General features: G+C 57.6%; 2 protein-coding genes across 7 annotated transcripts in view, besides 6 other annotated features; one reads left to right on the top strand and one right to left on the bottom strand.

Annotated features, from left to right (window-relative positions):
* Positions 1 to 9,427, top strand: part of C9orf50 (chromosome 9 open reading frame 50) — a 9,700-nt gene extending 273 nt beyond the window's left edge. The window contains exons 2-9 of one of the 4 annotated variants that reach the window (XM_011518655.2): positions 250 to 366; positions 885 to 1,585; positions 1,822 to 1,912; positions 2,016 to 2,132; positions 6,005 to 6,168; positions 8,055 to 8,217; positions 8,401 to 8,545; positions 9,198 to 9,427. In XM_011518655.2, coding sequence (XP_011516957.1) covers positions 1,078 to 1,585; positions 1,822 to 1,912; positions 2,016 to 2,132; positions 6,005 to 6,168; positions 8,055 to 8,217; positions 8,401 to 8,545; positions 9,198 to 9,305 — 1,296 coding nt within the window. In that variant the 5' untranslated portion in view covers positions 250 to 366; positions 885 to 1,077 and the 3' untranslated portion in view covers positions 9,306 to 9,427. Of the gene's footprint in view, positions 1 to 249; positions 367 to 550; positions 1,586 to 1,821; positions 1,913 to 2,015; positions 2,133 to 6,004; positions 6,169 to 8,054; positions 8,218 to 8,400; positions 8,546 to 9,197 lie in introns of those variants that run through there. The other 3 variants (XM_011518656.2, NM_199350.4, XM_011518658.3) reach the window with 3 other exon arrangements.
* Positions 1 to 12,780, bottom strand: part of NTMT1 (N-terminal Xaa-Pro-Lys N-methyltransferase 1) — a 27,264-nt gene extending 14,484 nt beyond the window's left edge. For 2 of the 3 annotated variants that reach the window (NM_001286796.2, XM_047423259.1), the window contains exon 1: positions 12,474 to 12,780. The gene's annotated coding sequence lies outside the window, so the exon portion shown is untranslated. Of the gene's footprint in view, positions 1 to 1,331; positions 1,440 to 12,473 lie in introns of those variants that run through there. The other variant, NM_001286797.2, reaches the window with a different exon arrangement.
* Positions 439 to 1,089: an enhancer, noted in NCBI's record as "H3K27ac-H3K4me1 hESC enhancer chr9:132382842-132383492 (GRCh37/hg19 assembly coordinates)". NCBI's record gives its function as "activates a minimal SCP1, AML or CMV promoter by ChIP-STARR-seq in naive H9 embryonic stem cells {active_cell/tissue: H9 hESC(naive)}" and the evidence as "EXISTENCE:reporter gene assay evidence [ECO:0000049][PMID:30033119]".
* Positions 9,589 to 10,088: an enhancer, noted in NCBI's record as "H3K4me1 hESC enhancer chr9:132373843-132374342 (GRCh37/hg19 assembly coordinates)". NCBI's record gives its function as "activates a minimal SCP1, AML or CMV promoter by ChIP-STARR-seq in naive H9 embryonic stem cells {active_cell/tissue: H9 hESC(naive)}" and the evidence as "EXISTENCE:reporter gene assay evidence [ECO:0000049][PMID:30033119]".
* Positions 10,089 to 10,590: an enhancer, noted in NCBI's record as "H3K4me1 hESC enhancer chr9:132373341-132373842 (GRCh37/hg19 assembly coordinates)". NCBI's record gives its function as "activates a minimal SCP1, AML or CMV promoter by ChIP-STARR-seq in naive H9 embryonic stem cells {active_cell/tissue: H9 hESC(naive)}" and the evidence as "EXISTENCE:reporter gene assay evidence [ECO:0000049][PMID:30033119]".
* Positions 10,412 to 10,501: an enhancer, noted in NCBI's record as "active region_29116". NCBI's record gives its function as "activates an Ori minimal core promoter by ATAC-STARR-seq in GM12878 lymphoblastoid cells {active_cell/tissue: GM12878}" and the evidence as "EXISTENCE:reporter gene assay evidence [ECO:0000049][PMID:35858748]".
* Positions 10,845 to 10,894: a silencer, noted in NCBI's record as "silent region_20385". NCBI's record gives its function as "represses an Ori minimal core promoter by ATAC-STARR-seq in GM12878 lymphoblastoid cells {active_cell/tissue: GM12878}" and the evidence as "EXISTENCE:reporter gene assay evidence [ECO:0000049][PMID:35858748]".
* Positions 10,925 to 10,974: a silencer, noted in NCBI's record as "silent region_20384". NCBI's record gives its function as "represses an Ori minimal core promoter by ATAC-STARR-seq in GM12878 lymphoblastoid cells {active_cell/tissue: GM12878}" and the evidence as "EXISTENCE:reporter gene assay evidence [ECO:0000049][PMID:35858748]".

Raw genomic sequence — 12,780 nt, 5'->3', positions numbered from 1 at the left:
TCACGCCTGTGATCCCAGCACTTTGGGAGGCCAAGGCAAGTGGATCACTTGAGCCCAGGAGTTCAAGACCAGCCCGTGCAACATAAATACAAAAAAATTCTACCCCATTTCTACAAAATATACAAAAATTAGCCAACTGTGGTGGTGTGTGCCTGTAGTCCCAGCTACTCAGGAGGCTGAGGCAGGAGGATCACTTGAGCCCAAGAATTTGAGGCTGCAGTGAGCTATGATGGTGCCATTGCACTCCAGCCTGGGTGACAGCAGGACCCCGTCTTAGCAAGACCCCATCTCTTTAACAACAACAACAAGAACAACAAACTGTCTTGGCTCCAGCAGAGACGTACTGAATCAGAATGGGGGCTGGGGGTAAGTCATCTGTATTTTCAACAGGCTCCCCACCCAGGGGTCTCTGAGGCAGCACCAGGGCTGGGAGGCTGCTGGTCAGGTCTCTCTTCCCTCAAGCTGGTTCCAGGTTTCCTAATTCCCAGTAGAGCGCTAATGACGGTAACAGTTCCACGCTTTGAACACTGCAAGGCAGGCTAAGTGCTCTCTCTACCAGCGGTGATGCGGTGATGCCGTTTCACGGCTGCAGAGAGGCAGGTGCTGCTATTATCCCCATTCTGCAGACCAGAGCCCCCAGGGAAGGCAGAGGGAAGTTAATTGGCTTGGCCAAGGTTACAAAGCTAATAAGTGGTGGAGCTGGGACTAAATCCTAAATAATAATAACTTTGAAATACTAAGAATGGCAGCTAGTCTATGTGTAAGCTTGGCCAGCGTGCCTGGCACTGTACCGAGCTTGCTGTTCTAAGACTGGCATGTACTTGCTCATTTAAACGTCACAGCAACCCCCAAAGTTGGCTACTCTTGCTGTCACCATTTTTCAGGTGAGGAAACAGAGGCTCTGGGAGCTCTCGCCTGAAGCCACTCGCTGTCCGCCGGGCCGGTGGCGTTCACCCCGCACCGCGCTGCCCCGCCCGGGGCACTATGGCCTGGGGCTGGACTATGCCCTCCCCACCTCAGCCGGCGCCCCCCACCCACGCGCGCTGAGGGTGCGGTGAGCTGAGTGCGGGGCCAAGCATGTTCTGGCGTCGACTTCGCCCAGGGGCCCAGGACCTGGCGCCCAAGGGGCTCCCTGGCGACGGAGACTTCCGACGCAGCAGCGACCCGCGGCTGCCCAAGCTGACCCCGCCCGCGCTCCGAGCGGCTCTGGGCGCGCGGGGCTCCGGGGACTGGAGGATCCCGGGGGGCGGCGCCGCGTGGTGGCCGGAAGGGGACGCCAAGCCCGGGGTGGGCGTCGGACGCCTCCCGCCGCGCCTGCCCGCCTTGCTCACCGCGACCCGGCGGGCCGTGCGGAAGCGGGGGCTGCTGCGGTCCCTGCTGCCGCCTCCCCTGCTGTCGGCCGGCGCGTCCCGGGAATCGGCGCCCAGGCAGCCAGGGCCTGGAGAGCGCGAGCGCCCCCGGAGGCGCGTGGCCAGGGAGGACCCCGACTTCTTGGGCGCCTTCCTAGGAGAGCTCCTCCCCAGCAGGTTCCGTGAGTTCCTGCACCAGCTCCAGGAGAAGTGCGCCGAGGAGCCGGAGCCACTGAGTGAGGCCCCGCGGGGCCCGGGGGGCGGGCCCGAGTCATTTCCGGTGGGGGGTGGTCCCTTGTGTCCCCGCACCCACCACCCCACCACCCAGGCTAGAAGGATGCTAATGTTAGCTGAGTATCTCAGAGCCCTCGCAACCCGTCCTTGAGGGCTGGTCTGCCATCACCCCGAGGCCACATGACTAGAAAGGACCGTCCCCCAGCCAAGGCTCACAACTGTTTCCTCCTGGCTCCAGCATCCCCAGCACCGCAACATCAAAGGGGTGTATTAGAGCACTGCCCAGGGTCTCCGCGGTGTCCCAACTGTTCATTCCTCCCAGACCTGTGGTAAGCGTCAGTCCGCTTCTTGGTGGGGACGGGGTTGCCATCGATGTTTCCAGGGCGGGACAGCCTGGCCACTCATGCCAGATGTGGCCTGTTTGTCTTTAAGGGGCCAGTCATCGCACCTCCAGGATAGTCTTACGAAGATTTCGCTCCAGCAGACACCTATTCTGGGGCCCCTGAAGGGTGATCACTCACAATTCACCACTGTCAGAAAGGCCAACCAGTGAGTGATGGGCGGGATAAGGGTAGGGTAGTGGAGGAAAGGGGCATTTCTTTCCTTCTTTCTTTCCTCTTTCGCCCATGAATGTATTCATTTATCCACCTATCTACCCATTCATCCATCCTTACATATGGCTGTCCGTGAATCAGATCTTCTACCAACCCATTCAAGATTCATTCGCCAGTTCATCAATGAATCAACCCATCCATTAATGAGGTCTTCTACCAACACATAATTCATCCATGAATCTATTCATATATTCATTTTCCCATTCACCCATCCATCTTTGCATCCATCTCATCCATGAACCAAGTCTTCTACAACCCGTTCATGAATCTCTCCATCTATCCATCCATCCTTCTGTCCACCCATTAATCTATCATGGACCCATGACTCCATCCATCCATACATTCACTCACCCACCCACCCATGAATCAGGTGTCCTGTGGATCCATTCATCTACCTGGCCAACCAGCTAGCCAGTCATCCATCTAAAACTCCCACACTTCGGCAGGGCACGGTGGCTCACACCTGTAATCCCAGCACTTTGGGAGGCTGAGGTGGGCGGATCACGAGGTTAGGAGATTGAGACCACCCTGGATAACACGGTGAAACCCCGTCTCTACTAAAAATATACAAAAAAAAAAAAAAAAACACAAAAAATTAGCCGGGCGTGGTGGCGGGCGCCTGTAGTCCCAGCTACTCGGGAGGCTGAGGCGAGAGAATGGTGTGAACCCGGGAGGCGGAGCTTGCAGTGAGCTGAGATTGTGCCATTGCACTCCAGCCTGGGTGACAGAGTGAGACTCCATCTCAAATAAAAATGAAATAAAATAAAATAAAATAAATAAAAAATAAAACTCCCACACTTCTATCCATCCATCCATTGATCCAATGACCAACCATCTACAAATCCTTCCATCCACTTGTAAACCCAGGACACTGTCCATCGCTAATCTAGTCATAAAGCCATCCACAAACCTACATACCCATCTACATAATCATCCAGCCACGCATCTGTCCATCTACCCATACATTCATAGTTCAGTTCTATTCAGACCCTTTCATTAACTCACCCATCAGTCCATCCACCCATCAACCCACCCACCCAGTCTTCCATCATTTTACCCATCCCACCATCATTTGTCCATTTCTTACTCTAACTTTTATTAGGTTTTACTATATGTTGAATATTGGGAGAAAACTAAGGGATGGAGGTAAGAGAAGAGCCTAGGAATTGGAACCTACCTGGGCCTAGACACCATAGTTTTAACAGAGGAGGAAAAGAAGACAGAAACAGTTCCTCCAGGTTAAAATTCCTCCAGGCTTAAGCAGGGGTGAAGGGTGAATGGCACTGCCCATGAGTTTAAAGACCAGGGAGAGTAAATACATCACAAACATATCATTCTTCCTCATCTCATACCCACAGCAGACAAAACTAATGGATCATATTTCCCCACTGAGCCTCAGAACCATTCCTCACACAGTACTCTAGGTAGATACTCCTGATGGATCAGGGTAGGAACTAGAAATGGAACACATGGCCAAGCATGGTGGCTCATGCCTATAATCCCAGTGCTTTGGGAGGCTGAGGCAGGAGGATCGCTTGAGCCCAGGAGTTTGAGACCAGCCTTGGTAACATGGTGAAACCCTGTCTCTACAAAAATTACAAAAATTAGCTGGGCGTGGTGGTGCATGCCTGTGGTTCCAGCTACTCGGGAGGCTGAGGTGGGAGGATTGCTTGAGCCTGGGAGGTTGAGGCTGCAGTGAGCCAAGATCGTGCCACTGCACTCCAGCCTGGGTGACAGAGCAAGACCCTGTCTCAAAAAACAAACAAACAAACAAAAACAGTGAAACACATTTACCAACCTCAGAACGTTCAACCAATCAGGCCAAATATACACATGACTTCTCACAAGATACAAATAAATAAAAGTATGGAATTCATTCTCTCAAATGTGAGCAAAAGCAGAGACAAACACAGTTACAGACTTTCACATTCAAGAGCAAATACTTGAGCACCTTACTGTGTGTGAGATTCCCTGGTAGGCCCTGCAGGGGACACTGTGGTGCCTCAGAACAGGCTCCAGTGGCCCTCGAGTGAAGATGCTGAGATTTCAGGCAGGTGGGCAGAGCTGGGTTATGCCTTTGCCTGGCCCAGCAGCCAGCAGAGAGCAGGGGTTCCTGAGCAGACAACTGTTAGATGACTAGGTCCCAAGGCATGTAGCCAGGCACTGTCCTGACACCTCCCAACTGCTTGGCTCTTTGGAGGCTGATGAAAAGCATTCCCTCTGCATCTACACAGACATACAGATGTGGTCAGATGAATGGATGCAGACATATAACTATGTGCATACTAACGGTCAGCCATGACCTTCCTCCATAACAGAGTTATAGGTGGGTCAAGCAGGCCTTCCCGCAGCCTTGCCCTTGAGGCTGATTTTTTTTTTCTTTTTTTTTGAGACGAAGTCTCACTCCGTCCCTAGGCTGGAGTGCAGTGGCACGATCTCGGCTCACTGCAACCTCTACCTCCTGGGTTCAAGTGATTCTCAACCTCTCGAGTAACTGGAACTACAGGCGCACGCCACCGTGCCCAGCTAATTTTTTTGTATTTTTGGTAGAGACGGGGGTTTCACCATGTTGGCCAGGATGGTCTGGATCTCTTGACCTTTTGATCTGCCTGCCTCCCAAAGTGCTGGGATTACAGGCGTGAGCCACCACACCGGGTTGAGGCTGAAATTAATAACAATAAATGGAACAATGTTATCTATGAAATATACATATAACAGATACCCTTGATTAAGGCCAAACCCTGTGCCAGGCCACGTCCTACATGCCTCATGTAAATCATTTGATACTCACCAAACCCAGGAGGATGGTATTATTGTGCCTATAATTTAAAGGGAAAAAAACCTGCAGAATGGAGACTTGGAGACAGTCTACCAAAGGCCACGTGGCTGGGATGGGGCATGATTGAGATAGACAGTTACAATAAGAACAGCTCAGGCAGGCGGGCGGGCGGTGGCTCATGCCTGTGATCCCAGCACTTAGGAAGGCGAAGGGGGGTGGATCACTTGAGGTCAGGCGTTCGGGACCACCCTGGCCAATAAGGTGAAACCCCGTTTCTACTAAAAATACAAAAATTAGCCGGGCGTGGTGGCACACGCCTGTAGTCCCAGCTACTCGGGAGGCTGAGGCAGGAGAATGGCGTGAACCCGGGAGGCGGAGCTTGCAATGAGCCGAGATGGCACCACTGCACTCCAGCCTGAGCCACAGAGCGAGAATCTGTCTCAAAAACAAAACAAAAACAAAAAACAGCTCCCTGTTAGTGATGTTTCCTCTGGGTCCTGCAGACCCTGGGCTGGATGCTTGTACGGCCCATTTCCTTTCTTCACAACCCTGTAGGGTGGGCACAATGATTCCCATTTTACAGACAAGAAAACTGAGGCTCAAAAGGGTCAGGAATGAAACCCAGGACTGCATGACTCCTGGGCTGGCATTCTTATTCTCTCTGCTAAATTGCTTTACGTGCGAGGGCGCCAGCTCTGGAACCAGGATGCAGGTCTTGGCTCCATGCCTGACAGCTGCATCGCCTTGGAATAGTCTCTGTGCCTCTGTTTCCTCAACTATAAAATGAGAATGATAACAGCGTTTCATGGGGACTGTGTGCATTTGGTGGGTTGGTGTATGTGCGTGCTTGAGCCTGCCTGGCAGGTAGGAAGTGCTCCGTTAAGGCCGGCTGCTGTGATTGGCGTTATCCATTCTTCAAGACCAGTGTAGGGCACTTGTCCAGGATCTCACAGCGAGTCTGGGGCTGGTGCGTGTGTGCTGGGGTACGGTGGGGGGCTTCGAGCACAGGCCCCTCTCCCCTCTCTCAGCAGGCCCCACGGTGCACAGGTCCCCAGGCTCAAGGCTGCGCTGACCCACAACCCCTCGGGGGAAGGCTCTAGGCCCTGCAGGCAGCGTTGCCCTTTCCGGGTGCGATTCGCTGACGAGACCCTGCAGGACACAACGCTCCGCTACTGGGAGCGCAGACGCTCAGGTAAGCAGACAGGATGGGGAGCCTCGAGACTCCCGAAAGTTCTAGCCAGGAGGGCAGAGAGGCTGTAGCTCCGGGCCCCTAGAGTGAGGGACTGGCTTTGCAAAGGCCAAGAGATCAGTGATCCTGCAGAGGATGTGCCTGAACTGGCCTCCTTGGAGGATGTCAGGTTGACCTTCGAAGACCAAGTAGAGGGTCCAGAGTCCAGTGGAGGTGTTCCAACGCAGGCAGCACCTTGGACTGCTCGCTGCCAAGGGGTTCCCATATGCTGTATCTGCCCACCTTGAGACCCGTAGCCGGAGCCTCCAGAGCCCACACTTGCTCCCCTCCGCAGTCCCCACAGCCTACAGGGGCTGGAGGAGGTCCAGATGCCATTGGAAGCATCTTCCTTTGACATCCATGAAGGCAGACCTCGAAGCCTGCCTGAGGAGGTGCCCAGAAAAGCCGCGAAGCGGAAACTTTCTCTCTCCTGGAGACAGTTGGCACTGCCAGGTCCAGCAAGGAAGCTAAGAGCCACCAGACCCTGGATGTAATGGTGTCTGTTTTGCAGTTCCCAGTGAGTTTTCTTTTTCTTTTTTTTTTTCTGATACGGAGTCTCACTCTGTCGCCCAGGCTGGAGTGCAGTGGCGCGATCTCGGCTCGCTGCAAGCTCCACCTCCCGGGTTCATGCCATTCTCCTGCCTCAGCCTCCTGAGTACCTGGGATTACAGGCATGCGCCACCGCCCCTGGCTAATTTTGTATTTTTAGTAGAGACGGGGTTTCTCCATGTTGACCAGGGTGGTCTCGAACTCCTGACCTCAGGGATCCACCTGCCTCTGCCTCCCAAAGTGCTGGGATTACAGGCATGAGCCACCGCGCCTGGCCATTCCCAGTGAATTTTCTGAAGTGTGTCTCGAGAAGCAGGCGAGAAGTCCCTGTTCTTACTCTGGTATAACCTTGACTAAGCTCCACCTTTTTCTGTGTGCCCAGCCTCTTCTCAGGATCCAGCAGCCCCCAGGGTCCCCAACAGTCAATGTCCTCTAGCTGTTTATTGAGCACCCACTATGTGCAGTTTCAGGAAATGTCTGCCTCAAGGTCTAGCTGTGGGCGATGCCCTGCAAACCTAGGACCTTCGCTGATTTGGGAGGGATCTGACGCAGCCTCCTTAGCGTGACAGGAAGCTGGAGTTAGAAGCTGTGATTTTTGCCCAACTTCTGTTTGTTTGGTGGGGAAACCAAGGCCCCAGAAGCAGGATGGGCTTGTGTGGGTGACGCAGAGCCACATATAGAAGCCAGAGTGACCCCGGGCCCCTCTTGGGAATCCAAGGCCAGGACAAGCCCAAGAGAAACAATTTCATGTGAATGGCAGTTGGTGCATACAGGAGATGATTCCGTGTCAGCCACTGGCCATAAGGAGCTATCATGGTGTCCCGGGCAGCAGGGTGCCCAGGAGACGTGGGGGCCAGCCTGCTGCTTCCCAGCCCTTTCCATCCTGGGGCAGCCATTGGGGAACTCAGGGTCCTTGGACCACCTCGCATGGCTGCTGTTGGACAGGAAGAGCCCCCATCCCTGAGACAGCCCTCCCTGAAGCCCTCAACGCTCTCAGCATGGTTTCTGGGATTTCTATGATGGGGTAAGTGGTCTCCCCACTGCGAGAAAGGGGGCACGCTTCCGGCTGCAGCGTGAGTGGGGGTGCGCAGGGGCACAGCTTGGGTATAACAGAAATGGTCACGCAAGGTGGTTTTAAAACCCAAGGCTTCTCTGGAGGCAGCCAGAAGGCGCTGGGGAGCCTGGGGTTGCCATGGAGACAGGGCTCTGACCGGCCCTGCCTGCCAGAGGGAGGAAAAGAGGGTGGGGGCACCAGTGCCCTCCTCCTGGGCAGAGATCTCACCCTGCCCTCTTTCCTGCAGTCCAACAGAGCGTCATTGTGAACCAGAAGGCCGCCCTGCCAGTGGCGTCCGAGCGGGTGTTTGGGAGTGTCGGAAAACGGCTGGAGAGTTTGCCCAAAGCCCTGTACCCTGGGGCCAAGGAGGAGACCCTGGCCAGCTCCTCGTGTTGGGACTGCGCTGGCCTGTGAGGCTCCAGGGAAGCGGATGGGACTCGTGGACATTGCCAGGGCCCTCCACCCCCCTTGCCTACAGACCTCCCCACCCAGCAGCAGGCGGGTTGCCAGTGTGGGTCCTCAAGGGCCCTGCCAGCCATGGGTGGGCCGGGGACTCAGAGTCCAGGAAGCTCATGGGGTCCTGTCTCCCCCAGGTCCACCCAGAAGACACAGGGCTACCTTTCTGAGGACACCTCCATGAACAGCAGCCTGCCCTTCTGTTCATGGAAGAAGGCCGCTGCTCAGAGGCCGCGAAGCAGCCTCCGAGCCTTCTTGGACCCGCACAGAAACCTGGAGCAGGTGGGCAAATGGTCTTGCTCCTGGACCTAGAAGCTGGTGAGCCCCTGCTGGCAGCTGGCTCCGGGAGCAGCCCTGTTTGGTGGAGTGGCTGGGGCTGGGAGTGGACCCTCCCTGAGAGCCAAGTCACCGTGGGGGCTTGCAGTGGCCACGCCCTGTGTTCCTGCATCTCCCTCAAAGGGCAGCTGTCAAGGGGTGGCTCTAAGCCAGGTGCCTGGGTTCCGATCACAGTTCCTTTCTGCATCTCCCCTCCCCTCCCCTCTCCTCTCTTTGCTTTTTTGAGACAGAGTGTTGCTCTGTCGCCCAGGCTGGAGTGCAGTGGTGCAATCTTGGCTCACTGCAACCTCTGCAATGGGGACACCCACCACCACACCCAGCTAATTTTTGTATTTTCGGTAGAGACAGGGTTTCACTATGCTGGCCAGGCTGGTCTTGAACTCCTGACCTCAGGTGATCTGTCCGCCTTGGCCTCCCAAACTGCTGGGATTACAGGCGAGAGCCACCGTGCTTGACCTTGCATTTGTTTCCTCATCTTTTAAAATGGGGCTGACAGCACTACCTGCCCAACAGGGCTTCAGCACAGAATCCCACTGGGAGCCCAGTCCCCTGCCCCGAGGTCCTGGTAGCAGCCAGCTGGTCCTCTGTCTCACTCTAGGAGTCCCTCCTGCCCAACCGGGTGCTGCAGTCGGTCCTGAAGCAAGGCTGCCCTAAGGGGTACCATCTCCTCCTGGCCTCCGCAACACTGCAGCCAGATAAGAGGTGAACACTCGCGAACCCAAGGCCAGGGGCACACATGGGCCAGGCAATGAGGAGCGTCCTTCCTTGCCCCACAAATAAAGGCACATCCCAGGTGGCTGGGACCTGCCAGTAGGTGTCACACCACAAGCCTTTCTGGGTACCTGGTTGCTGGTCTCTGGGGGTTCCTGGAAGGAAGGGGATGGAGACACAGCCAGGATGAGGCTGAGGGGTGGGGACAGGGCATCCCTGGGGTTCAGGACTTGTAGTGAACCCCTCTTCTGGAAGGTGGGAGACCCTGCCACATACCTGAAACCTGGGAACATGCTGGGCACAATGGTCCATGCCTGTAATCCCAGAACTTTGGAAGGCTGAGGTGGGAGGATGGCTTGAGCCCAGGAGTTTGAGACCAGCCTGAGCAACATAGACCCTGTCTCTTAAAAAAAGAAAAAAAAATAGCTGGGCGTGGTGCTCCACGCCTCTAGCCCCAGGTACTTGGGAGGCTGAGGCGGGCAGATTGCTTGAGCCCAGGTGGTTGAGGCTGCAGTGAGCTGTGATCCCGCCACTGCACTCCAGCCTGGGCGAGAGAGTAAGACCTTGTCTCAAAAAACAAGCAAACAAACAACAACAACAACGAAACCCAAAAAACTTGGGACCAAGCCTCTGTTGACCTAGATCAGCCCACACCTGAAGCAGGCACCTGCTGGAAACTCAGCCTAGGGGTGGAGAACCCCCACCCCAAGCCTCTGTCCTCCCCCACCAAGCCTCCATCTGACATCCACAATGGAGTGAGGGCGTCCAGACTCCAGCCGAGGGAAGAGAGCCCTGTGTTGGTCTCATGCGTTTCCCCGGAAGGGTTGGCACCCTCTGGTCCCAGAAGGCAAAGCACCTGTGTGGGACGGGCTGGGGCCCACGGTTTCTCTCCTAGTCTGGGGATGAGGGGGTGGATGTTCAAATCTGCATCAGGAGGTGGCGAAAGACAAGGTGGCAGACCCTGCCCACCAGGTTTGCCCCTGCCACACCTGCGTTCCAGCCCCCTGGAGAAAGTTTGAGCCGCCGCCTCTTTCCCTGAAGCTGTCAGTGGCCCCCAGACCCGCGCCATTGCCCAGGATCCGGGTCTTTCTCGCCACCTCCTGGCCGCTGAGGAAACAGCAGGGAATCCACACCCTGGCGCCTTGTTTAATGGCAAAGGAATGGGCTGCAAACGGTGGGACTGGCCTGGGCGGTGGCTGGTGGGGGTCCTTAGGGCCGGGATGGGTTGTGGATGGGGGACGCCTTTTGGGAGAGGCGCCCTAACTCCAGAAGAAGGGCAATAGAGCTAGGGTTAGTTTAGACAAACTCTGCAGGGATGGGAAGAAGACAGCACTGCCACCGCCCCTCCACCGGGTACCTGATTGCTGGACTCTGGAGGTAACTGGAAGGAAGGGGGTGGAGACACATCTAGGACGAGGAGTGGGATTCAGTCCCTGGGACGTCCCCTCCCTTCTGTCTCCCTTTCTGGACATTCACGCCCCGTCCCCCGTCTCAGCAGGCCTGATTCTACGGCCCCTCCTCCAGGTGGCCTTGCGCAGCCCACGTCGCCCTCTCTGAGCCTCAGTTTACCCCAAGGGTCGCGGCGGGCCCCGGCCCCTGCGCCGGCTGCAGCACCGCGGCGCGCCCACGCGGGGGCAGTGTTGGCCTGGCTTTGGCGCCGCCTGGCGCGGCCGAAACTTCTCAGCCTCTCGCTCCAGGGTCGGAAACTTTTCCCCTCGCGCGGCGCTCGCGCCCGCCCGCCTCCGCCTCCGCGCTGCTGGCTCCGCACAGCCCCGCTCCGGCCGCGCGACCTCCTGGCACCTGCTCCGAGCCCACGACCGGCCCTGGCGGGTGGGGGGAAACGCGCCGCCCCCGCCCCCCAACTTCCCTCTCTCTCGCTTTTGTTGTTCAGCCCAAAATTGCTAGGCTTGCAGCCGTGCGGCAGCGCCGAGCACTGAAGCCGGAGTCCGCGTGGAGCCCCCGGGGCGGGTCTCGGCGCCCCCGCGACCCCGGACTCCACGCCCTTGCTCGCGCCGGGGGCACCACGCCGGTGGGGGGGGGGCGGGGCCTGCAGGGAGACCTGGCCCCCGCCTACCGCTTACCCCTCCCCTTCCCCCCTTTCCCCTCTCCCTCCCCCTTTCCCCTCCCCCTCCCTCCTCCCCCCCTCCTCCCCCCTCCCCTGTGGCTCGGCCCGCAAGGCCCCGGGATCCCGCAGCGCTCCTGTCCGCTCCCTGCGCTGTCCACTCCCTCCCCGCAGACCACAGATGGAGGACGGAAGCCTCAGTCCCGCCGCTTTCGGCACTCACACCCACCACCGAGATACGCACCCCGAGACACACACAGGCACACCACAGGGCCACACCCACACGGTACACAGACAAAACAACGCCCCACAGACACCCCCTTCAGACACACACACCACACACATACCCGGACTCCTGCCCTACAAACAGCCGGTGAACACAGGCCGACCTCACACATACACGGCCTCTCACGGGGTCTCCCAGGGCCGCAGCCCCCACATTCGGGGTCATCTGCTGCCCTGGAGGCCCAGACGCCTCCCCCTGGCCCTCTGTAGCCACTTGTCTGTCCACCAGCATGTCCCCCACCATGAACAGGGGATGAGGAAGAGGGAGCGAGGCATTCAGGGGATGGACCCAACCCCAGCTCTTCCCCGGGGGCCCTCCGGGGGCCTATCTCTCACCCTCTTTGGCAGAGACCCCAGATTGGGGGCCTCCCCAGGGGCCCCAACAGGGCCCTTTTCCGTGGGGCATTTCCACTCAGGGCTGGCGGGGGTGGGGTGGGGTTTGGGGTGGGGGGGCTGCCCCTCCTGGGCTTCAGGAAGCAGCATGTCAGGGAGGCCAGGAAAGCTCTGCTCCCCCCAACTCAGACCCATCTGAGCAGCTGGGATCAAGGCAGGCGCACCCTCCAACCCCACGCCTGCCATTGGTCATGGACAGTCCTGTGCCCAGCCAGGGCAGGGGAGAGTGGCAGCCCGGTCTAGTTGGGGGGAGGGGGAGGAATGACTCTGACCCAAGGCAGAAGGCAGAGCTGGGAGAGGCAGGAGGTCACTGCCCCTTTCTAGGTGTCCCCACCTCCCCACGCCTCTGCACCCCTGCAAGCTGGCTCCTTAGCCCGTTTGCTGATAAGGACACTGAAACCCTGAGGGCTCAGGCGGTCTCACCTGGGCGTGCTGGCGGTGCCCACTGGAGCTGGAACTGGTCCTACAGATGTCCTGAGCCAGCAGAGCCCTCGGCGGCGCACACAGGAGCTCTCTCCTAAGCCGCTCTCTGTACAGCCTTTGGTTGTTGGGGAAGCCAGGGCCCAGAGAGGCTCAACTCTTTCTCAAGATCACACAGTGACCAGGTGTTGGAGTGGGCATTCGCACTCAGCACCTCTTCACGGGGAAGCCCCGTCTCCCGCTGAGCGCAGTCCTGTGGAGGCTGCTTCTTCCTGCCGCACATGGGGCACCTCGGAGCAGGGAGGATCAG

The sequence above is a fragment of the Homo sapiens genome, chromosome 9 (assembly GCF_000001405.40).
Source record: "Homo sapiens chromosome 9, GRCh38.p14 Primary Assembly".
Taxonomy (NCBI): domain Eukaryota; kingdom Metazoa; phylum Chordata; class Mammalia; order Primates; family Hominidae; genus Homo; species Homo sapiens.
Note: the sequence above shows the minus strand (reverse complement) of the source record. Positions and strands in the feature narration are given on the sequence as shown.